This window comes from Homo sapiens, chromosome 16, assembly GCF_000001405.40.
Source record: "Homo sapiens chromosome 16, GRCh38.p14 Primary Assembly".
NCBI classification, from domain to species: domain Eukaryota; kingdom Metazoa; phylum Chordata; class Mammalia; order Primates; family Hominidae; genus Homo; species Homo sapiens.
In genome coordinates this window covers 71,955,863-71,979,581 of record NC_000016.10, presented here as the reverse complement: position 1 = coordinate 71,979,581, position 23,719 = coordinate 71,955,863, and the positions used below count along the sequence as shown (strand labels likewise).

At 43.4% G+C, this 23,719-nt stretch overlaps 1 protein-coding gene across 12 annotated transcripts in view; it reads left to right on the top strand.

The window, feature by feature from the left end:
• The window catches only part of PKD1L3 (polycystin 1 like 3, transient receptor potential channel interacting), a 70,865-nt gene that overhangs the window by 20,821 nt on the left and 26,325 nt on the right, over nucleotides 1–23,719 (top strand). For all 12 annotated transcript variants that reach the window (XM_024450254.2, XM_024450257.2, XM_024450256.2 and 9 more), the window contains 7 exons: nucleotides 1,199–1,327; nucleotides 2,115–2,346; nucleotides 6,065–6,258; nucleotides 9,477–9,707; nucleotides 11,575–11,676; nucleotides 12,267–12,445; nucleotides 16,231–16,377. In XM_024450254.2, the coding sequence (XP_024306022.1) occupies nucleotides 1,199–1,327; nucleotides 2,115–2,346; nucleotides 6,065–6,258; nucleotides 9,477–9,707; nucleotides 11,575–11,676; nucleotides 12,267–12,445; nucleotides 16,231–16,377 (1,214 nt within the window). The remainder of the gene's footprint in view (nucleotides 1–1,198; nucleotides 1,328–2,114; nucleotides 2,347–6,064; nucleotides 6,259–9,476; nucleotides 9,708–11,574; nucleotides 11,677–12,266; nucleotides 12,446–16,230; nucleotides 16,378–23,719) is intronic.

Genomic DNA, 23,719 nt, shown 5'->3' with positions numbered 1-23,719 from the left:
AGATTTCTGGATTTAACTAAATTTGTGTTGTAATTTGAATTGATTTCAACTCTGCAGTTTGTTTTTTGTTGTTGTGTTTTTTGTTTTCTTGTTTTGTTTTGTTTTGTTTTGTCTTGTTTTGTTTTGTTTTGTTTTGTTGAGATGGAGTCTCAATCTGTCACCCAGGCTGGAGTGCAGTGGCGTGATCTCGGCTCACTGCAACCTCTGCCTCCCAGGTTCAAGCGATTCCCCTGCCTCAGCCTCCCAAGTAGCTGGGATTACAGGCATGGGCCACCATGCCTGGCTAATTTTTGTATTTTTAGTAGAGGCGGGGTTTCGCCATTTTGGCCAGACTGGTCTCAAACTACGGACCTCAAGTGATTCACCCACCTGAGCCTCCCGTAGTGCTGGGATTACAGGTGTGAGCCACCATGCCCAGCCTCTGCACTATTTACAAAAAGCTGAGACTATCTAAATAATTATTGACTCAGTATACCAACCCAGTCATATCAATATATTGTATTCCTTTCAGCAGTTACCTGACAAATACAAGTAGCATTGTTGCCTTATCCTGAAGAGCAGAACAGTTACTTCCTAGTAAAATAGAATCCTCTAGATATAAAGATTAAAAATAATAATTCTGGGGATCCCAACGATAATTCATCTTTAATTTACTGTTTCTCATAGAGGTTATAAATGGGGAATGTTATTTCATTTGCGGTATTAGTAGGGGGCACATCCCAATATTTAATATATGATATCCGGCTGGGCATGATAGCTCAAGCCTGTAATCTCAACACTTTGGGAGGCTGAGGCAGGTGGATTACTTGAAGCCAGGAGTTCGAGACCAGCGTGGCCAACATAGCGAAACCCTGTCTCTACTAAAAATACAAAAATTAGCCAGGCATGGTGGTGTGCACCTGTAGTCCCAGCTACTTGGGAGGCTGAGGCAGGAGAATCGCTTGAACCTGGGAGGTGGAGATTGCAGTGAGCTGAGGTTGTGCCACTGCACTCCATCCTGATTGACAGAGTGTGACTCTTTCTCAAAAAAAAAAAAAAAGTATGTATGTATGTATGTATGTATATATATATATATATATATATATACACACACACACACACACACATATATACATATGTATATATGATATATCTTTCTAGTGGGGTCACTTAAAAATATTTCAGCAATGGATAAAACTGGGCTTCTCTTTGTCTTTAGATAACAGGACTAGCTTTCAATCCCTTCAAGGATTTGGACAACAGAAACATTGTTGGAAGCATTGGAAGTGTGTTACTAAGCGCTAATCGTAAATTGCTCCAAGTCCATGATTTAATGGAGGACATTGAGGTAGGAACTGATTCTTAGGGAATAAAATAGAAGAGAATGGGATATTCTGCAACAGGATGGAAGGATGCAACAACTTAAAGGGAATTATGTTAGATTGATGGCAGTGCCATTGTTTTGTTATTAACATCTTAGGAACTTTTACAAAGAGATACACCTTATCCTTAGAAAAAGTGTTTTAAAGGGCTGGGCGCAGTGGCTCATGCCTGTAATCCCAGCACTTTGGGAGGCTGAGGCAGGCAGATCACTTGAGGTCAGGAGTTCGAGACCAGCCTGGCCAACATAGTGAAACCCCATCTCTACTAAAAATACAAAAATTAACTGGCATGGCAGTGGGTGGCTGTTATCCCAGCTACTCTGGAGGCTGAGGCAGGAGAATAGCTTGAATCCAGGAGGTGGAGTTTGCAGTGAGCTGAGATCGCACTGCTGCACACCAGCCTGGGTGACAGAGTAATGCTTGGTCTCAAAAATAAGAAGAATAAGAAGTGTTATAGGTCTGGGACTATGTACTTATCCTTAACCCCAGCAGTATTAGCTACTAACATCCAATGAGGAAGACCTGGCTGGGCACAGTGGCTCATGCATATAATCCTAGCATTTTGAGAGACTGAAGCGGGAGGATTGCTTGAGACCAGGAGTTCAAGACCAACGTGGCCAACATAGCAAGACCCCATCTCAAAAAAAAAAAAAAAAAAAAGAGCTAGGACGTTTCCTTACCTTATCAATATAAAGGATTTTGAAAGACATCAATGGATGGACCATTATAATGATTAACTGTCTCTTATTCTAGATCATGCTCTGGAGAAATGTTAGCTTGGAAACCCATCCCACCAGCCTCAACATGAGCACACATCAGCTTACAATCACAGTGAACGTCACTTCCTTGGAGAAATCCTTGATAGTGAGCATAGATCCTGACAGTCCCCTTTTAATGACACTCTACCTGGGGTTCCAGTATCAGCCTAACTGCACTCACTTCCACCTGAACATCACCCTTCCAAAGGATAAGGTGTGGCAAAAAGGTAAAACCCAATCAGCTGTCAGAAACTTACTTTGATTTCTTTTTGCCTAGGATGTAGTGCAGTGGCACCATCATTGTTGACTGCAGCCTCAAACTGTCAGGCTCAGGGGATCCTCCTGCCTTAGCCTCTTAAGTAGCTGGGACTACAAGTGCGCACCACCACATCTGGCTAATTTCTTAAAAAAAATTTTGTGGGCCGGGCGCGGTGGCTTGCGCCTATAATCCCAGCACTTTGGGAGGCCGAGGCGGGCAGATCACAAGGTCAGGAGATCGAGACCATCCTGGCTAACACAGTGAAACCCTGTCTCTACTAAAAATGCAAAAAAATTAGCCAGGTGTGGTGGCAGGTGCCTGTAGTCCCAGCTATTTGGGAGGCTGAGGCAGGAAAATGTCCTGAACCTGGGAGACGGAGCTTGCAGTGAGCTGACACCGTGCCACTGCACTCCAGCCTGGGAGACAGAGACAGACTCCGTCTCAAAAAGTGGAGACAGGGTCTTGCCATGTTGCCCAGGCTGGTCTTGAACTCCCAGCTTCAAGCAATCTTCCTGTCTCAGCCTCCTGAAGTGCTGGGATTACAGACATGAGCTACTTCATGTGGCCACTTTTTTTTCTTTTTTAAAAAAATTTTCATTTTGAGATAATTGTAGATTCACATGCAGTTATAAGAAATAACAGAGACAGGCCAGGCAGAGTGGCTCATACCTGTAACCCCAGCACTTTGGGAGGCTGAGGCGGGTGGATCACCTGAGGTCAGGAGTTGGAGACCAGCCTGGTCAACATGATGAAACCCCATCTCTGCTAAAAATACAAAAAATTAGATGGGTGTGGTGGCGGGCACCTGTAATCCCAGCTACTTGGGAGGCTGAGGCAGAAGAATTGCTTAAGCCTGGGAGGCAGAGGTTGCCGTGAGCCAAGATCGCACCATTGCGCTCCAGGCTACAGAGCAAGACTGTCTTAAAAAAAAAAAAAAAAGACAGGCTGGGCACTCAGTGGCTCATGCCTGAAATCCCACTGTAATCCTAGCACTTTGGGAGGCAGAGGCAGGTGGATCAACTTAGGTCAGGAGTTTAAGACTACGCTGGCCCACACGGTGAAACCCCATCTCTCCTAAAAGTATAAAAATTAGCTGGTCATGGTGGTGCACACATGTAATCCCAGCTACTCGGGAGACTGAGGCATGAGAATCACTTGAACCCAGGAGGCAGAGGTTGCAGTGAGCTGAGATTGTGCCACTGCTGTCCAGCCTGGGTGACAGACCCTGCCTCAAAAAAAAAAAAAAGAACAGAAACAGCTTGTATACCTCTCATCCAGTTTCTCTGAATGGTAGTATCTTGCATAACTAGAGTATATCACAACCAGAAAATAACATTAATACAATCACTGATTTTATTCCGATTTCACCAGGTTTACAAGCACATTTCTGTATGTGTGTGTATTGAGTCCTGTGTGATTTTACCACATGTGTAGACACGTGACCATAAAATCATTTTTTTTTAAAGATGGATTATAGGATGGATAAGGATATGTATGTAAGGAAGCAGACTTAGTAGGATGTTAATTGTAGAATCTAGTTAATGGTTATATGGTTATTCCCTGTAAAATTCTTTGTATGGTTGAAGATTTTCATAATAACATGTTGAGACCCACAGCAGAAGTAAGGCTCACAGCACCATGAGTTAAATATACTTCACATTTATATATTGTAGATGACTATATATGAAATATGTCCTATGTATTTCAACTTTATTTCTAATCTTAGATTTGAGGAAGAAAGGCCTGATGATATCTCAGTATGCCTTGGTATAAAATCAGAATGAATGTATTGTAGTTTAGAAAAGTTAAGAATTTCTGAGACATAACATTACAGTTAAAAATGTCTGGCCTGGTGTAGTGGCTCACCCCTGTAACGCCAGCACTTTGAGAGGCCAAGGCAGGAGGATCACTTAAGCCCAGGAATTTGAGACTAGCCTGGGCAACAGAGCGAGACTCTGTCTCCACAAAAAAAAAAAAAAAATTAGCCGAGCGTGGTGGCGTGCACCTGTAGTCCTAACTACTTGGGAGGCTGAGGCAAGAGGATTGCTTGAGCCAAGGAGTTCAAAGCCACAATGAGTTTCGATGATACCACTGCACTCCAGCCTGGGTGACAGAGCAAGACACTGTCTCTAAAAAATAAAAATTCCTGATATATATAAATAGTGCCCAGATATACTTGATCAAAACCATGCTCTGTGGGTATCAACTTTAAATATAGTACTGAAAAGTCTTAATAAGAGCTACACTTCTGTATTTATTTTTACGTTGGGAAAAATCTGAATGGAGAAAGCATGCTACAGTCTCCCGTCATGACCACCTTCCATACTGGAAAGAACTTTCTCTGGCTCTCGCATGGGCACCACTCACACAGGAACAATCACTTCTAAGTTCTTGCTTTTAGGCAAAGTCCCCGAGGCAGCAATGCTCACTACCAGGCTGCCCACTACAGAATCTGTGGAAATTACCAACGGGCCCTTTCCCAATTCCAAAGGTGTACTCAGTTTTGTTTCTGTTTCTGTTTTGAGACAGGCTCACTGTGTCGCCCAGGGTGGAGCGCAGTGGTGCGATCTCCACTCACTGTAGCCTCCGCCTCCTGGGCTCAAGCGATTCTCATGCCTCAGCCTCCCAAGCAGCTGGGACTGCAGGCGCATATGCCACCATGCCTGGCTAATTTTTTGTGTTTTTAGTAGAGACAGGGTTTTGCCATGTTCGCCAAGCTAGGTCTCAAACTCCTGGGCTCAAATAATCCTCCTGCCTTAACCTCCCAAAGTGCTTGGATTATAGGCCTGAGCCACTGCGCCTGGCCATGGACTCAGTTTTTCTTGGTGATCTTGGCAATGATATGTCATTCAGAGCCGGAAGGGGCCTTCAGGAACCTTTTTTTGAGAGACAGGACTATTTGAAAGATGAGAAAGCTGAGGCCCAGAGAGACTGGATGACTCACCTTAGCCCCTACCAGCCAGCTGGTGACAGAGCCAGGCCCGACCTCCGGTCCCTAGCGTGCAGTCCTGGGCTTTGTTCCTGAAGCTGCCCTATCTCTATGTTTGCTTCACCCTGGGGTTTGTTACCTTAGTCTTCTATCTGCTAACTTAGATATGTGCTCATTTCATTTTTCTAAACCTCGTAATACATTCTAAATCATTAGACCTAAATGTTCACATGTTCACATACCAGAAGAATATATATATTTTTTTTTTTTTTTGAGACAAAATCTCACTCTGTTGCCCAGGCTAGAGTATAGTGGTGCGATTTCGGCTCACTGCAACTTCCACCTCCCAAGTTCAAGCAATTTTCCTGCCTCAGCCTCCTGAGTAGCTGGGATTACAGGCTCACATCACCACACCCCACTAATTTTTGTATTTTTAGTAGAGATGGGGTTTCACCATGTTCACCAGGCTGGTCTCGAACTCCTGACCTCAAGTGATCCGCCCGCATCAGCTTCCCAAAGTGCTGAGATTATAGGCGTGAGTCACCACACCTGGCCAAAAGACTGTAGTTCTTTACTGGAACAGTAGTAATCCAGAGCCCAGGGTTGTATCACTGGTCATTTTCTTTCAAATCATTTGTGACTCTAGTTTCATCATGGTCTCATTTGTAAAATATTAATAATAGATCCTTTAGAAGAGAGGTTCATTGGTGTTTTTGTTCCATTTGATATACAAGTAAGCACTCTTCTTTGTTCTAAGATGAGGAGTACACGTGGGTGCTGAATCCAGAGCATCTGCAGCACGGGATTGGCACCTACTATATAACAGCTGTGCTGAGTGAGAGGCAGGAGGGTGCTCAGCAGACACCCAGCTTGGTCTCGGTCATCACCGCCGTCACTCAGTGTTACTACTGGGAGATCCACAACCAGACATGGAGCAGCGCCGGATGCCAAGTAAGAAACTGAGCCGCTTCTTGGGCCTCTCTTCTGCCATAGCTACTGTTAAGCCCAATGCATCCGTTATCTCATTTGGGGCAGCCCAGAAAGAAAAATAATCAGGTGGTTTGAAATAACTCTGCCTGGGCAAAAGGAGGGAGGAGGGTTGTGTGTGGTGGGCAGGGCAAGTGTGCCTCTTCGAAGCAGGAGCAGCTTTGTGCTTTATCTTTGTGATTTCTTTCTCAAACACAGTCCAGGGTGGATCTGACAAGTGTGGATAAAATAGCGTGTGGAAGCCATAAAATTCTACAAGTATTAAATATGTTGTGGGTGGGTAAAATGAAACCTCTTGCTAAACGAAGGAGAACTTTCATAGCTCAAGAAATACATTCTCAGATTCTTTTACGTTCCAGGCCAGGTGAGGACAGGTTGTCACTTTTGTAATTATCACCTTGTTCCTGGTGTCCAACTGCTTTAAACCAGCACTATTATATTTGCACACTCGTGATTCTGTGAGATCCTGCCTGATGAAAGTCCTGGTTTGGTTGCTCAAAGAATGTGGTGTAAGGTCTTGCAAATCAGCAAGCTGTTCTAAAAAGAGCTGAGAAAGTGCCATCTAGATTGGAAAGAGAAGGAAAGATAATTTTCTTTTTTTTTTGAGGTGGGATCTCATTCTGTCCCTCAGGCTGGAGTGCAGTGGCATGATCACGGCTTACTGCAGCCTCAACCTCCTGGGCTCAAAAGATCCGCCTGCCTCAAACTTTCAAGTAATGAGGACCACAGGCATGTGCCACCATGCCTGGCTAATGTTTTAGATTTTTGAACAGACAGGGTCTCGCCATGGTGCCTATGCTGGTCTTGAACTTCTGAGCTCAAGCAATCCTCCCTCCTGCACTTTGGGAGGCCAGAAGGAGGAGGAGGAGGATGATGATGATTACTTATAGAGGGAGTTTCCCTCTTGTTGCCCAGGCTGGAGTGCAATGGCATGATCTCGGCTCACCGCAACCTCTGCCCCGCTGGGCTCAAGCGATTCTCCTGCCTCGGCCTCCCCAGTAGCTGGGATTACAGGCATGCACCACCACACCCAGCTAATTATTGTTTTTTTTTGTTTTTTTGTGTGTTTTTTTGAGACCAGTCTTGCTCTATCGGCCAGGCTGGGGTGCAGTGGCGCGATCTTGGCTCACTGCAAACTCTGCCTCCCAGGTTCATGCCATTCTCCTGCCTCAGCCTCCCAAGTAGCTAGGACTACAGGCACCCACCACTGCGCCCGGCTAATTTTGTGTATGTTTATTAGAGACAGGGTTTCACCGTGTTAGCCAGGATGGTCTCGATCTCCTGTCCTCGTGATCCGCCTGCCTCGGCCTCCCAAAGTGCTGGGATTACAGGTGTGAGCCACCGTGCCCGGCCTAATTACTGTATTTTTAGTAGAGATGGGGTTTCTCCATGTTGGTCAGGCTGGTCTCAAACTCCCGACCTCAGGTGATCTGCCCGCCTTGGCCTCTCAAAGTGCTGGAATTACAGGCATGACAGAGAGAGGATTCTTAGGAAGGCATCTGCACCATTCATAGCCTCAGGCAGTCATAGCTGGACAATGGCTATCAAGCAAATCTATAATCAGTTTGTTAAAATGTAGATTCTGAAGCAGTAGCTCTGGTCAGGCCTTTCTAACAAGCTTCCAGCTGATCCCAGTGCTGCTTGTTAGGGAAACCATACTTTGAGTAGAGAAGCTTGAGAGCTTTTCTCCTCTCACAGCACAGACCAGTTGATTGCAGAAGGCATCGGATATTTCCCACCTCCTTGAAGCACGCTGAAGTGCTTGGACTCCATGAAAGGAATTGAGCTGCCCCAAATACAGCGCAAGAGTTCTTCCAAAGGCAGACTAGATTGGGCCTCCAGGACTTAATTCTGTGCCATGGAAAGAAGTAGTCATAATGACAGTACTGGAGGCTTTTCACCCACGAAACCAAACACAGAATTGGTAGCTTCCATGTAATCACCTACTGACATATTTTTAAATATTATGCAGAAATGTTCCAACATATGGAAAGCCATAAAGAATAATAAAAAACATTGAATGCACATTCAGCTTTATCAAAGTTAGTATTTTGCTCTGCTTCATATTTTCTTAAATAATAAAACACTCATGAATAATTGAAGCCCTCTGAGTATCCCTCTCTAGTCTCTCTCCTTCCTTCCCTTCCACCAAAGGGTAACTACTGGCCTGAATTTGAGGGGGGAATTCATTCTTTCACCGAATATTTATTGAGTGTCTTCTACGTGCCATGCCCAAGTCTAGGAACTAGAGACACAGCAGTGAACAAGACAATCGCCTCATGAACTGACATTCTGGAGAGGGAAACTGACAATGAATAGATAAATAAGTGTTTTGCATGCTTCTTAGGCTTTGGGCAAATGGCATTATACTGTACATATCTCTTGTTGTATTCACTTAGCATTTATCCATGTTGATACATCTACCTCTAATTCATCCATTTTTTAAAATTTTTATATTTATGTATTATTTATTTATTTTGGAGACAGAGTCTTGCTCTGTCACCCAGGGTGGAATGCAGTGGTGTGATCTGGGCTCACTGCAACCTCTGTCTCTCAGGTTCAAGCAATTCTCCTGCCTCAGCCTCCCAAGTAGCTGGGACTACAGGCATGCGCCTCCAAGCCTGGCTAATTTTTATATTTTTAGTAGAGATGGGGTTTCACCATGTTGTCCAGGCTGGTCTCAAACTCCTAGCCTCAGGTGATCCACCTGCCTCAGCCTCCCAAAGTGCTAGGATTACAGATATGAGCCACCACACCCGCTGATTCATTCATTTTTAACTGCTGTATAGAATTCAATCAGTTTGCCTCTGCTTACTTATGTACTTGTTCATTTGTATGTTCTGCTATTGAACATGTAAGTTGTTTCCTATTTTTGATAATTATAGACAAAGGTGACAAAACATTCCTTTTCATATATCTTCATACACATGTGCACAGTTCCCCTAGAACATGTATACACTCAGAACTGGAATTGCAGGATTCAAAGAGTTTGTTCTGCTTCAGCTGTACTAGATGTTGCTAAATTACTTTCCACATTGGTTATACCAATTTACGCCATCACCAGCTGTGAATGAGAGAACCAGATACCTCTTTCCATCTCTAAATTGCTGGTGTTTGTTTTATGTCTGTCCCCTCCTTAGCACTCTGTCTGACTAGAATCAACGTCTTGATTCTAATTCCAGGTTGGGCCACAGAGCACAATTCTGAGGACACAGTGTCTCTGTAACCACCTGACCTTCTTTGCCAGCGACTTCTTTGTCGTGCCCAGGACCGTGAATGTTGAAGACACGATCAAACTGTTCCTTCGCGTGACCAACAATCCTGTTGGGGTGTCACTGCTGGCCAGCCTTTTAGGATTTTATGTGATCACAGTTGTGTGGGCTCGGAAAAAGGATCAAGCAGATATGCAGAAGGTAATGAGACTTTGATTTCAACAGATTTGCCATGATGTTTTGAGTAATTAAATAAGATGAAGGAAAAAACACCTTCGTCAAAAGCAGCAGGAAGCCTGGTACTGGGAGGCATAGAAATTCAAGTGAAACTTTTCTTAAATTTATCTTCGTGTCTGCTGACTCAAGACCTGAGAACTTTTTCTCTCTATTTTTTTTTCCTTTGGTTCCAAGATTGGACCTTGCAGGACTCCTTTTAGGACAGGAATGAGCCAAAAGAAAACACTAGCCAGGTGTAGTGGCTCATGCCTATAATTCCAACACTTGGGGAGGCCAGGGCAGGAGGATCACTTGAGCTCAAGAGTTCAAGGCCAGCCTGGCCACCATAACAAGACCTTGTCTCTACTAAAAAAAAAAAAAAAAAAAAGAGCCTGGCATGGTGGTGCATGCTTGTAGTCCCAGCTACTTGGGCAGCTGAGGTGGGAAGATCGCTTGAGCCCAGGAGCCTTGAAGCTGCAGTGAGCTATTGTGCCATTTTACTCCAGCCTGGGCAACAGAGACCCAGTCTCCAAAAAGAAAAAGAAAAGAAAAGACCTAGAGAGCTTAACTAAAGTTAAATGCAAGTTTATCTTACTTTATACATTGGATATGAAAGTTACATGTAACTTGGCTGGGTGCAGTGGCTCACGCCTGTAATCCCAGCACTTTGGGAGGCCGAGGCAGGTGGATCACCTGAGGTCAGGAGTTTGAGACCAGCCTGGCCAACATGATGAAACTCCATCTCTACTAAAAATACAAAAATTAGCCAGGCATGGTGGCATGTGCCTGTAATCCCAGCTGCTCGGGAGGCTGAGGCAGGAGAATTGCTTGAGCCCGGGAGACAGAGGTTGCGGTGAGCTGAGATCGAGATTGCCCCACTGCACTCCAGCCTGGCCGACAGAGTGAGATTCTGTCTCAAAAAAAAAAAAGTTATATGTAAATCAAATTGTAACTTAATGTAACTGGCTGGGTGAAGTGGCTCACGCCTATAATCCCAGCACACTGGGAGGCCGAGGCAGGTGGATCGCTTGAGGTCAAGAGTTCAAGACCAGCCTGGCCAACATGGTGAAACCCTGTCTCTACTAAAAATACAAAAATTAGCCGGCTGTGGTGGTGCATGTCTGTAGTCCCAACTACTCAGGAGGCTGAGGTGGGAGGATCACTTGAACCTGGGAGGCAGAGGTTGCAGTGAGCCAAGAATGAACCACTGCACTCCAGCCTGGGCAACATAGCAAGACTCCGTCTCAAAAAATAAGAATATAACTATAATATACAAGAAATTTATATGGCATGTTTTTTAAAACAAAAATCTTTTGACAGCCTCTTCTTTCCATGTGTTTGTTCTTCCTATGTTTTCTTGCACTTGGAAATTCTAGAATACGCCAAGTGTTCACTTCTTGTTGCCCTGGGTGTAGGGTTGTCAGCATTAGTAAACAAAAATACAGGCTACCTAGTTAAATTTGCATTTTAAATGAACAGTGCATCGTTAGTGTAAGTGTGCCCCAAATTATTCATAGTTTATCTGAAATGCAGATTTAGCTGGGTATTCTCTGTTATCTGGTGACTGTACCTAAGTGGGAAGGAGGTGGAAGGATTTAGAGGCCCAAGACCTGATCGGGTGATTCTATGACTGTTTCACTTGAGAGGCACAGGCCCTGGAGGTTCAGGCCTCATCCCCACTTTAGTGACTTAGGTCTGCTCATGTGTCTGTCTGCTGCCCACACCTCAGCCCTGCTTTCTGCAGGGCTGCCAGACACCTGCCGGAGTTCATCCTCCTGCTCCTCAGCTGGAGGAGGCAGGAACTATACCAAGTGGAGGCCTAGTAAGTTGCATGGTTCTGCTTTTCTTGCAGGTGAAGGTCACTGTCCTGGCTGATAATGACCCCAGCGCTCAATTTCACTACCTTATTCAGGTCTACACCGGATATCGAAGAAGCGCTGCTACAACAGCTAAGGTTAATGAAATAAATGTTTTTCACATTGCCTTGTGTCTTCTGCCACATGAGACACACTCTGAGTTGGTGATATCCTGGCAACCAATAGCACTTTAAAAGAGACTAGAGATTGGTATTTTCTAGTTCTAAACTGTACATGTGGGCCGCACATGGGGGTTCACGCCTGTAATCCCAATACTTTGGGAGGCCAAGGTGGGGAGGTCACCTAAGGTCAGGAGTTTGAGACCAGCCTGGCCAACAAGGTGAAAACCCTTCTCTACTAAAAATGCAGAAATTAGCTGAGCGTGATGGCCCATGACTATAATCACAGCTACTCAGGAGGTTGAGGCACGAAAATTGCTTCAACTTGGGAGGCAGAGGTTGCACTAAGCCAAGATCACACCACTGCACTCCAGCCTGGGTGACAGAGCAAGACTTCATGTCAGAAAAAATATATCTATACTGCATATATGAAGAATTATCTATGCTTGTCTAAGATCCGAAAGACTTGATCTAAATAGTTTTCTATGTCTTCGTCTTTCTCCTTAGGGATAAACCCAAAGAATTGTGTTAAAATTCCTTATATTTTATCTTTCCCTGTCTCATTGTAGGTTGTCATCACCCTCTATGGATCAGAGGGACGGAGTGAGCCCCATCACCTCTGTGACCCCCAGAAGACAGTCTTTGAACGAGGGGGCCTGGATGTCTTCCTTCTCACCACTTGGACCTCTCTAGGGAACCTGCACAGCCTTCGGCTCTGGCATGACAATTCTGGCGTCAGTCCCTCCTGGTGAGTACTTATATCCTGTTGGCTGTTGCTGCTGCTTTGTGGATCCAAGAGAGAAGAAAGAAGATCACCACAATAAATCACAGTAAAGCTTTGAGCCAAATAGTAACAAATGACTATTAGATTTCAGTTTCAAAGCTGTCTACACAGAATAAGCCCTGGAAAGAAGTGTGAGAGATTAACAATGTGATTTTTTTTGGATAGTAGAATAATAGATGTTTTGTTTTCTCTAATCTCATTTTCATTAAATGTCATGATTGTGAACAGCAAATAACACCAATGAAATATTGCCTGAAAGTGCCACAAATTAAAAGTATTTCTAAATATGAAAAAATATCCTTAAAGACTAACTTTAGTAAACAACTGTCTACTGACAGTCAAACTTTGAGTCAAATTTAAGAGCTTAAGGGCAGGGCGCAGCAGCTCACGCCTGTAATCCCAGTACTTTGGGAGGCCAAGGCAGGAAGATCACTTGAGGCCAGGAGTTTGAGAACAGCCTGAGCTACATAGGAAGACCCCACCTCTACAAAAAAAATTTCAAAAAAAATCGCCAGGCATGGTTGTGTGCACCTATAATCCCAGCTACTCAGGAGACTGAAGTGGGAGGATAACTTGAGCCTCGGAGGTTGAAGCTGCAGTGAGCATGTCTGCACCACTGCACACCAGCCTGGGCAACAGCAAGACCCTGTCTCGGAGGGAAGGAAAAAAAAAAAAAAGTCAAGATCTTAAGGAAGGAGAAAGAATTACTGTATGAGATGTGCCTAAGGAGTTAGAGAAATAACTAGACGATGATAAAGTCCTTGAACCTAACGTGTTAGGTTTGAATGATTCAGTATCTTCCTTGAGCAGCACCCAGAATTAGGAGAGGTGCTAGAGAAAGTAGATGATACAATTAATTAAGAATGAGGATTACTGGTTCCTTGGAGTTAGGAAAAAAGAGAAAAATGAAGTAGAAGTCTTAAGGCTCAGGCACTCAATCTGTTGCCACATGTTGCCCACCCACAAAGAGCATATGGTCTCCCTAAATTTGTTAGCAAAATACATTTTTCCCCCTAGCTAGACATACCAGCCACTGGGCTGGTAGAGCCTAATAACTTCCTTGCTGCTTCCATTCTGTTCCAGTATGCACAAATCAGCTTGTAAACCATCCTTCCAGTTTTATTTAAAAAAGTGAATAATGTATAGTAAGCACTTGAAAAGATGTTCAACCTGGTTAGTCATCAGTAAATGAAAATGACAGCACTAGCCATCCATCAGAATGGCTTAAATTAAAAACTCTCACAAAAGGCCAGGCACAGTGGCTCACGCCTGTAATCCCAGCACTTTGGGAGGCCGAGGTTGGCAGATCACTTGAGGTCAGGAGTTTGAGACCAGCCTGGCCAACATGGTGAAACCCTGTCTCTACTAAAAATACAAAAATTAGCCGGGCATGGTGGTAAATGCCTGTCACCCCAGCTGCTCGAGAGACCGAGGCAGGAGAATTGCTTGAACCTGGGAGGCAGAGATTGCGTTGAGCAGAGATGGTGCCACCGCAGTCCAACTTGGCAACAGAGTGAGACCATCTCCAAAAAAAAAAAAAAAAAATTCTCACAAAACCAAGTTTAGGGGAGGATGGGGAGCAACTGAAACACTCACACGCCCCTAGTGAGAGTGTAAAATGGTATGGCCACTTCAGAGAACAGCTTGCCAGTTTCTTGTGAAGTTAAACATACACTGACCATGTGACCCAGAAATCACACTCATAGGTATTTACCCAAGATAAACAAAAACATGTGTCCACTGCAAGACCTGTACACATATATTCATAGCAGCTTTATTAGTAGCCCAAAACAGAAAACATCACAAATGTCTATTGAATGAATAAACAAATGTTAGTGTATTGATTCAATGTAATACTACTCAACGAAAAGGAAACGATTGTTACATATGACTACGTGGATGAATTTTTTTAAATTATGCTTAGTGAAAGAAGCTGTACATAAAGAATGTATAGGCCAGACACAGTGGCTCACACCTCTAATCTCAGCACTTTGGGGGGCCAAGGTGGTTAGATCACTTGAGGTCAGGAGTTTGAGACCAGCCTGGGCAACATGGTGAAATTCTGTCTCTACAAAAAAATACAAAAATTAGCTGGGCGTGATGGCTCATGCCTGTACTCCCAGCTACTTGGGGGGCTGAGGCGGGAGAATCACTTGAGCCCAAGAGGTGGAGGTTGCAGTGAGCCAAGATCGCACCGCTGCACTCCAGCCTGGGCAACAGAGCAAGATCCTGCCTCAAAAAAAAAAAAAAATACATATATATAGAGAGAGAGCATATGATTCCACACACATAAAATTCCATAAAAGGCTAACTATTCTATAAAGACAGAGGACAGCAGATCATTGTTCTCCTAAGGCCAGGAATGAGGGGGCAGGAGGTGACTGGAAGGAGGGATAGGGAGCTTTTGGGGGTGATATTTTGATGGTGCTGGTGTATAAACGTTTGTCAAAATACATTGAATTGGCCAGGCATGGTGTCTCATGCCTGTGATCCCAGCACTTTGGGAGGCCAGGGCGGGCAGATCACGAGGTCAGGAGATCGAGACCATCCTGGCTATAACACAGTGAAACCCCATCTCTACTAAAAATACAAAAACTAGCCGGGCGTGGTGGCTCCTTCCTGTAGTCCCAGCTACTTGGGAGGCTGAGGCAGGAGAATTGCTTGAACCTGGGAGGTGGAGGTTGCAGTGAGCCAAGATCACACCACTGCACTCCAGCCTGTGCAAGAGAGTGAAACTCTGTCTCAAAAAAAAAAAAAAAAAAAAAAAAAAAAAAAAAAAAAAAAAAAAAAAGATTTTGACGAGAGAAATTTAAGTGGTTTCATGACAAACACAGACCCTTGGGGAAAATAGCATCATTACAGTAAAGGAGGAGGTTTGCCGAATAGTTGTGAGGTGAAATCAAACAGGTTGAATAATCAGGTGTCCCAGAGGACAGGGGTGTGAACGGCTGAAGTTAGCAGAGAAATTAGTGATAAAACACTGGTTGGGAAAAGGATGAGCTCTCAGGGCCTATGGCTCTGTGAAGTGGAGATGAGGCCTGTGAAGCGGAGATGAGACTAAGTAGAGTGAGAAGTCATTAATGTAAATGATAAAGACTACAACCCATTTATGCCCCCTGATGATGAAAGGCAGATGGGATATTTGAAAAGGTGGCAAGCCACTGTCACATATGGGACAGAGAAAGGTTATAAAATGTGTAGATACATACTTATCTATTCATAGGTGAGAAAGGTTTGCAGTCTGGTGTCTGGTACATGAACTCCCTTAGAAGTTGGGAAGGGAAAGATAAGATCTACTCTCTTTTCTTTTTGTTTTTTTTGACAGAGTCTCATTCTGTCACCCAAGCTAGAATGCAGTGGTGCAATTTCAACTCACTGCAGCCTTGACCTCCCGGGCTCAAACAATCCTTCCACCTCAGCCTTTCAAGTAGCTCAGGACTACAGGTGCACACCACCACGCCCAGCTAATTTTTATATATTTTGTAGAGTTGGGATTTTGCGACGTTGCCCAAGCTGTGCTCAAATGCCTGAGCTCAAGCAATCCACCTGCCTCAGCCTCACGCAGTGCTGGGATTGTAGGTGTGCATCACCATGTCTGGCCTCAACTTTCTTTCCTTTCCTTAGTTCTTGCCTTGCAATGAAACAGTTCATTTACTTGGACAGTTTACTAATGGTCTGAGATTACGTCTTACTACAGACAACTGATTCAAGCCCATCTCCCTAATGTGGTTATCTTCATTTTACTATAGGTATGTCAGCCAGGTAATTGTCTGTGACATGGCAGTTAAGAGGAAGTGGCATTTCCTGTGCAATTGCTGGCTGGCTGTGGACCTCGGAGACTGTGAGCTTGACCGGGTCTTCATCCCAGTTTCAAAGAGAGAGCTCTTTTCCTTTAGGTACTGTTGGAAAATTACTATTAACAGTGAATATTGATGTTCACTATTAATTGAATTGTTCACGATTGAATTGTTTTTAATGCAAATTAACATTTTATTAATGTATTATTTCAAACATACATAAGCATTACTGTTGTGGTTGTAACTGGTGTAACCATTACCTTAAAAATCAGAAGGAAGACAAAAAGAGATTCGAAGTATAAAAATTATAAATATTGCCCTTATTTTCTGAAACTGTTTACCTAGAGAATCATTTATAAATTTACTAAGATATCTAGGAATAAAAGAATCACTCAGATCAATGGAATATAAAAAGGATACCACTACTTCGATGATACAAATATTTATGAGAACAAAATATAAAAATAAAGGAAAGTATTAGAGGGCTGTAGCCTTCAACTGACTTTCAAAGACACTAGTAAACTGGCCAGGCACCGTGACTCATGTTTGCAATCCCTGCACTTTGGGAGGCTGAGGCAGGCAGATCACTTGAGGTCAGGAGTTCAAGACCAGCCTAGCCAACATAGCAAGACCTACTAAAAATACAAAAATTAGCCAGGCGTGGTGGTGCACACCTGTGATCCCAGCTACTCGGGAGGCTAAGGTAGGAGAACTGCTTGAACCTGGGAGGCAGAGGTTGCAGTGAGCCAAGATTGCCACTGCACTCCAGCCTGGGCAACGGAGCGAAACTCCATCTCAAAAAATGCAAAGATGTTAGTAAACCAAAATAATTAAAGCAATGTACTGGTGAATTCACAGACCAGGAGAACGGTATAATATACGTATCAACTTCTGTATCTTTCTAGGTATCCATGTATCTTTCTATGTCTCCTGAATGCTAAAGATGAGAATATTCCTAGGAGAATATACCTCTGCTATCTGACCTCCTTCTTACCTTCAGCTTTCTGGTTCAATATTACGGCTCTCGGCTTTTTCCTCATGGGAACAAGATGATTGCAAGAGGCCCACACACCATGTCCTAGCCGGGCATGGTGGCTCACACCTGTAATCCCAGCACTTTGGGAGGCCGAGGTGGACAAATCACTTGAGGCCAGGAGTTTGAGACCAGCCTGGCCAACATAGCAAAACCCCATCTCTACCAAAGTACAAAAATTAGCCAGACTTGGTAGCATGAGACTGTAGTCCCAGCTACTTGGAAGGCTGAATCAGAAGAGTGGCTTGAACCCAGGAAGCGGAAGTTGCAGTGAGCCGAGATACAGCCACTGTGCTCCAGCCTCAGTGGCTCTATCAACCAAACACCACGTCCTTACATTAAAATGCCTAAAGGCAAAAAAACATGGAACTGTTTCTTCTGGTACTTGACTCCCAGAACAAACAAGAAATGTGTATTTCTTTGTTAAGATCTGCTCCAATTACAATTGCGGCATATAAGAAATTACTCCCAAAACTGAGTGGATTAAAACAACCATGTTACTTTTCTCCTGGTTTTGTGGGTCAGAAATTCAGTGAGGCCATGGCTGGGGAGTTTTCCCTTGGGATCTTTCATCCTGGCTGGGTCTGTTACTCATCTGTAAGCTCCTCTGTGTTAGATTTCCAAAAATGATTCGCTCACAAGGTCAGCAGGGGGCGCTGGCTGTCAACTGAGAGCTCATCTGTGGCTGTCAACAAAGCACCTATGTATGGCTTCTGCGTGGCAACCTCAAGAGAGTGGCATTTTTCACAGGGGTGGCTGTCTCCCTCCAGAATGGGCAGTTCAACAGAACTAAGTAGGGGCTTTAGCCTTTTATGTCCTAACTTTGAAAATCAGATTCAAGGAGAAGGGCCAAGGTACGGTGTCTCACTCCTGTAATCCCAACATTTTGGGAGGCTGAGGTGGGCAGATCACCTGAAGTCAGGAGTTCGAGACCAGCCTGGCCAACATGGTAAAACCCCTTCTCTACCAAAAATACAAAAGTTAGCCATGCGCAGTGGTGCACGCCTGTAGTCCCAGCTACTGGGGAGGCTGAGGCAGGGAAGTTGAACCCGGGAGGTCAAGGCTGCAGTGAGCTGAGATCACGCCACTGCACTCCAGCCTGTGCGAAGGAGTGAAGACTCCATCTCAAAACAAAACAGAGAAAACAAATAAGTCTTGAAACTAAAAATCATGGACTCTCAGCAAGAAGTGGGAAAAAAAAAATGAGATCCTGTCTCTAAAAAACAAACCAAAAATATATGTTTTAAATTGTGTGTTGCTTGTGTATAGGAATAAACTGGTAGAAATTTTCTCTCCTTCACCAAAACTTAAGGGGTAGCGAATACTATTTCCCCTCCCTAGACCTGATACAGTTCTAGGTTTGTTTTGTTTTGATTTTTGAGATAGGGTCTCACTGTGTTTGCCAAGCTGGTCCCAAACACCTAGGCTCAAGCAGTCCTCCCACCTCAGCTTCCCGAGTAGCTAGGATTACAGGCATATACCATTGCATCCAAAGTTCTAGTATTTTTAAAACATATATAGACATATTTATTCAAACATACTCATTTTTGTTGCAGAAATGTGATTTTTTATCTGTTTAATCTCTGTGTTTCCAATAGAGGAAAGACTGTGAGTTTAATTCTCCTTCAGTTATGTAAGTTTTTACCGTATAGACATATTTTATATGTCTATTGGATGTTTATTAGGAGCATTTAAGTGTATGTTATTTCTTCTGGATACTTTTTTTTTTATTATATAGGTCTCCCTTTGATCCTGTTGACACTTTGTATCTTAAATTCCATTTTATATTAACTAAAGAAAGTTGACATACTGATATTATTTCTATTGTTTGTTCTTATCTTTTTACTTTCAGCCCTTTTTATGGTTTTGCTTAGAGTTATGTCTTGCAAGCAACATATAACTGGATGTTTAAAAAACCAGATCTAATAATCTCTTTTAATACATGAGTTTAATATGTTTACATTAACCATGATTACCAATCCATTTGGACTTAATTTACCATATTATTTTGCATTATTTGTTATAATCCATTCTCTTTCCTTTATCTACTTTCCACATTGTCAAATTGACAGGTTTTGTAGTTTTTTTTGGTTTTTTTTTTTTAAGGTTCTCTGCCTCTTGGTTTGTTGGTTGGTTGGTTGTTTCTTTCAGATGGGGTCTTGCTCTGTCACCCCAGCTGGAGTGCTGTGACATGGATCACAGCTCACTGTAGCCTCAACCTCGCCAGCCTCAGGTGATCCTCCCACCTCAGCTTCCTGAGTAGCTGGGACTACAGGTGTGTGCCACCATGCCTGGCTAATTTTAAAACTATTTTTGTAGAAACAGGGTCTCACCATGTTGCCCAAGCTAGTTCTTGAACTCCTGGGTTCAAGTGATCTGCATGTCTTGGTCTCCCAAAGTGCTAGGATTACAGGTGTGAGCCACCATGCCTGACCACTTCTTGTATTTTTAATCTTTGCTGGTTTAGAAACTATACATTGTATTTTTTCCTCTTTCTCCTCTTGTTTTTCCACTTCCTGCTTCTGTTCCTCTTCTTCCTCTTCTAATTCTTTTTATTGGTTACTTTTAATTTTTAACACACTTTTTCTCCATATTAATTTTCTAAGAATAACGTTTCTTCTGCCTGAACATGACAAAGAATTAGCAATGCTTTAACCGTTCTTGAGTAACCTCTCTCCCAATTCCCATGTTTTAAATTACTCTCTAGTGTTATGGTTTTACCATTTTGTTTTTAGATGCACAAAAAAGGTTTTTCCTTTCATATTTCACAGTTAATTAAATAATTAATATCAATTTCTCTGTTTATTCTAGTTTTCTGTATTCTTTGTTTTTTGTTTGTTTGTTTAGTTGGTTGGTTTTTGAGACGGATTTTTGCTCTTGTTGCCCAGGCTGGAGTACAATGGCACGATCTCAGCTCACCACAACCTCCACCTCCCAGGTTCAAGTGATTCTCCTGCCTCAGCCTCCTGAGCAGCTGGGATTACAGACATGCGCCACCATGCCCGACTAATTTTGTATTTTTAGTAGAGACAGGTTTCTCCATGTTGGTCGGGCTGGTCTCAAACTCCTGACCTCAGGTGATCCACCCACCTTGGCCTCCCAAAGTGCTGAGATTACAGGTGAGGGCCACCGTGCCCAGCCTAGTTTTCTGTATTCTTTTAGTGTCTTTTTTTTTTTTTTTTTTTTGAGACGGGAGTCTTGCTCTGTCATCCAGGCTGGAGTGCAGTGGTGCAATCTCAGCTTACTATAACCTCTGCCTCCCACGTTCAAGCAATTCTTTCTCAGCCTCCGGAGTAGCTGGGATTACAGGCACACGCTGCCATGCCTGGCTAATTTTTTGTATTTTATTAGAGACGGCGTTTCACTCTGTTGCCCAGGCTGGTCTCAAACTCCTGCGCTCAAGCAGTCCACCTGCCTCACCCTCCCAAAGTGCTAAGATTACAGGTGTGAGCCACCGTGCCCGACTTTTTTTTTTTTTTTTTTTTTTTTTGAGATAGAGTCTTGCTCTATCGCCTAGGCTGGAGTGCAGTGACATGATCTCGGCTCACTGCAACCTCCGCCTCCTGGATTCAAGTGATTCTCCTGCCTCAGCCTCCTGAGTAGCTGGGATTACAGGCGCCCACCACCACGCCTGGCTAATTTTTCTATTTTTAGTAGAGATGGGGTTTCACCATGTTGGCCAGGCTGGTCTCAAACTCCTGACCTCAGGGTGATCCACTCACCTCGGCCTCCCAAAATGCTGGGATTACAGGCATGAGCTACCACGTCCAGCCAGTTTTCTGTATTTCTTATCATTACTCTGGGCTTTTTTCTCCTTGTTGAAGTAGCTCTTTTAATAGTTCTAATGAGAAGTGTGTGTGTGTCCATCTTTTTTTTTTTTTTTTGAGACGGAGTCTCGCTCTGTCGCCCAGGCTGGAGTGCAGTGGCGGGATCTCGGCTCACTGCAAGCTCCGCCTCCCGGGTTCAAGCCATTCTCCTGCCTCAGCCTCCCAAGTAGCTGGGACTACAGGCGCCCGCCACTACGCCCAGCTAATTTTTTGTATTTTTAGTAGAGACGGGGTTTCACCGTTTTAGCCGGGATGGTCTCGATCTCCTGACCTCGTGATCCGCCCGCCTCGGCCTCCCAAAGTGCTGGGATTACAGGCGTGAGCCACCGCGCCCGGCCGTGTGTGTCCATCTTTACTCTTGACTCATAGTTAGCTATTTAAGTGGATAGAAATTTTTTGTTATTTTTCCCTTAACACTTTGAAGATTTTAATACATTGTCTTCTGCCTGTGGAGCAGTTCCTAAGCAGAAACATTGTGACAGCTATATGGCTGGCTAGCAACACTTCCACTTGGCTTGTAAGAAGACAGCACAGATGAATTTATCTTCTTAATTGACCCTTTAATAAAATGTCTTTGGCTCTAGTAATAATTCTTGTCTTGAAGTATATTTTGTCCTATATGAGTATAGCCACTCCAGCCCTTTTTTGATTGCTGTTTACATGGAATACCTTCTTCCATCTTTTTAGTCCAGTGGCTTGATCTTGGCTCACTGCAACCTCCTGGGTTCAAGCAATTGTCCTGCCTTAGCCTCCCGAGTAGCTAGAAATACAGGCATGTGCCACCATGCCTTGCTAATTTTTGTATTTTTTTAGAGATGGGGTTTCACCATGTTGGCCAGGCTGGTCTCGAACTCCTGACCTCAAATGATCCTCCCACCTTCTCCTCCCAAAGTGCTGGGATTACAGGTGTGAGCTACCACTACTGGCCCATCCTTTTAATTTCAATTCATTTGTGTCTTCATATCTAAATTATGTCTCTTGTAGACAGAATACAGTTGGATTAGGCATTTTTTTGGTCCATTCTGCCAATCTCTATCTTTTAATTTGTGAGTTTAACCTATTTACATTTGATATAATTACTAATAAGGTAAGGTTTATATCTGCCATTTTGCTATTTGTTTTCTATACGTATTGTATCTTTTTTGTTCCTCTGTTTCTTTATCACTGCCTTTTTTTTAATCACCATCACAAATGGGGTTCAACAGTTACCCACACCTACTGGCATAGAATCTCCCAGAGGACATCACTGCCTTCTCTGTGTTAAATGGATATTTTCTAGTCTACCGTATTCTTTTGTCGTATCTTTTACTATATATTTTTAAATTATTTTCTTTATGCCTCCCCTGGGGATTATAATTAAAATTCTAATTTATGAAAACCTAGCTGGATTACTATCAACTTAATTTCAATAGTATACAAAAACTTCACTCCTGTAGCTCAGTTCCTTTCCCACTCTTTTGTGCTATTGTTGTCATACAAATTACATCTTCATGCATTGTGTGTCCATCATATAGATTCTTAATCACTGCTGCATGTAGTTATTTTTTAAGGCAGAAGAGTTGCAATCTATATATTTATTTATGTGTATGTTTACACTGTTTTTACAACTTTTAAAATTACGGTAAAAACACATAACATTTACCATCTTCACCATTTTTAAGTGTGTAGTGCAGTAGTAGTATATATATTGATACTGCTGTGCAACAGAGCTCCAGAGCTTTTTCACTTTGCAAAACTGAAACTCTACACCCATTGAACAACTTCCTGTTCCCTCCCCCTTCCAACCCTTGGCAACTATTCTTTCTATTTCTATAAATTTCATTACTTCACATTCCTCATGTAAGCAGAACCATACAGTATTTGTCTGTCGGTGACTGGCTTATTTCATTTATCACAATGTCCTCAAGGTTCATTCATGCTGTAGCATGTGCAAGAATTTCCTTCCTTTTTGGGCCGGGTGCGGTGGCTCACACCTGTAATCTCAGCACTTTGGGAGGCCGGGTCGGGTGGATCACCAGAGGTCCGGAGTTTGAGATAGCTTGGCCAACATGGTGAAACTCCATCTCTACTAAAAATACAAAAATTAGCCAGGCATGGCTGTGGTTGCCTGTAATCCCAGCTACTTGGGAGGCTGACACAGAAGGATTGCTTGAACTTGGGAGGTGAAGGTTGCAGTGAGCCAAGATCAGGCCATTGCACTCCATCCTAGGTGACAAGAGTGAAACTCCATCTCACAAAAAAAAAAAAAAAAAAAAAAAATTCCTTCCTTTTTAAAGCTAAATGATGGGCCAGGTGCAGTGGCTCACACCTGGAATCCCAGCGCTTTGGGAGGCTGAGACAAGTGGATCACTTGAGCTCAGGAGTTCGAGACCAGCCTGGGCAACATGGTAAAACTCCATCTCTACAAAAAATACAAAATTTAGCCAGGTGTTATATTTAGTCTATTCTCATGCTGCTATGGAGACGTACCTAAGACTGGGTAATTTGTAAAGGAAAGACGTTTAATTGACTCACAGTTAAGCATGGCTTGGGAGGCCTCAGGAGACTTACAATCATGGCAGAAGGGGAAGCAAACACATCC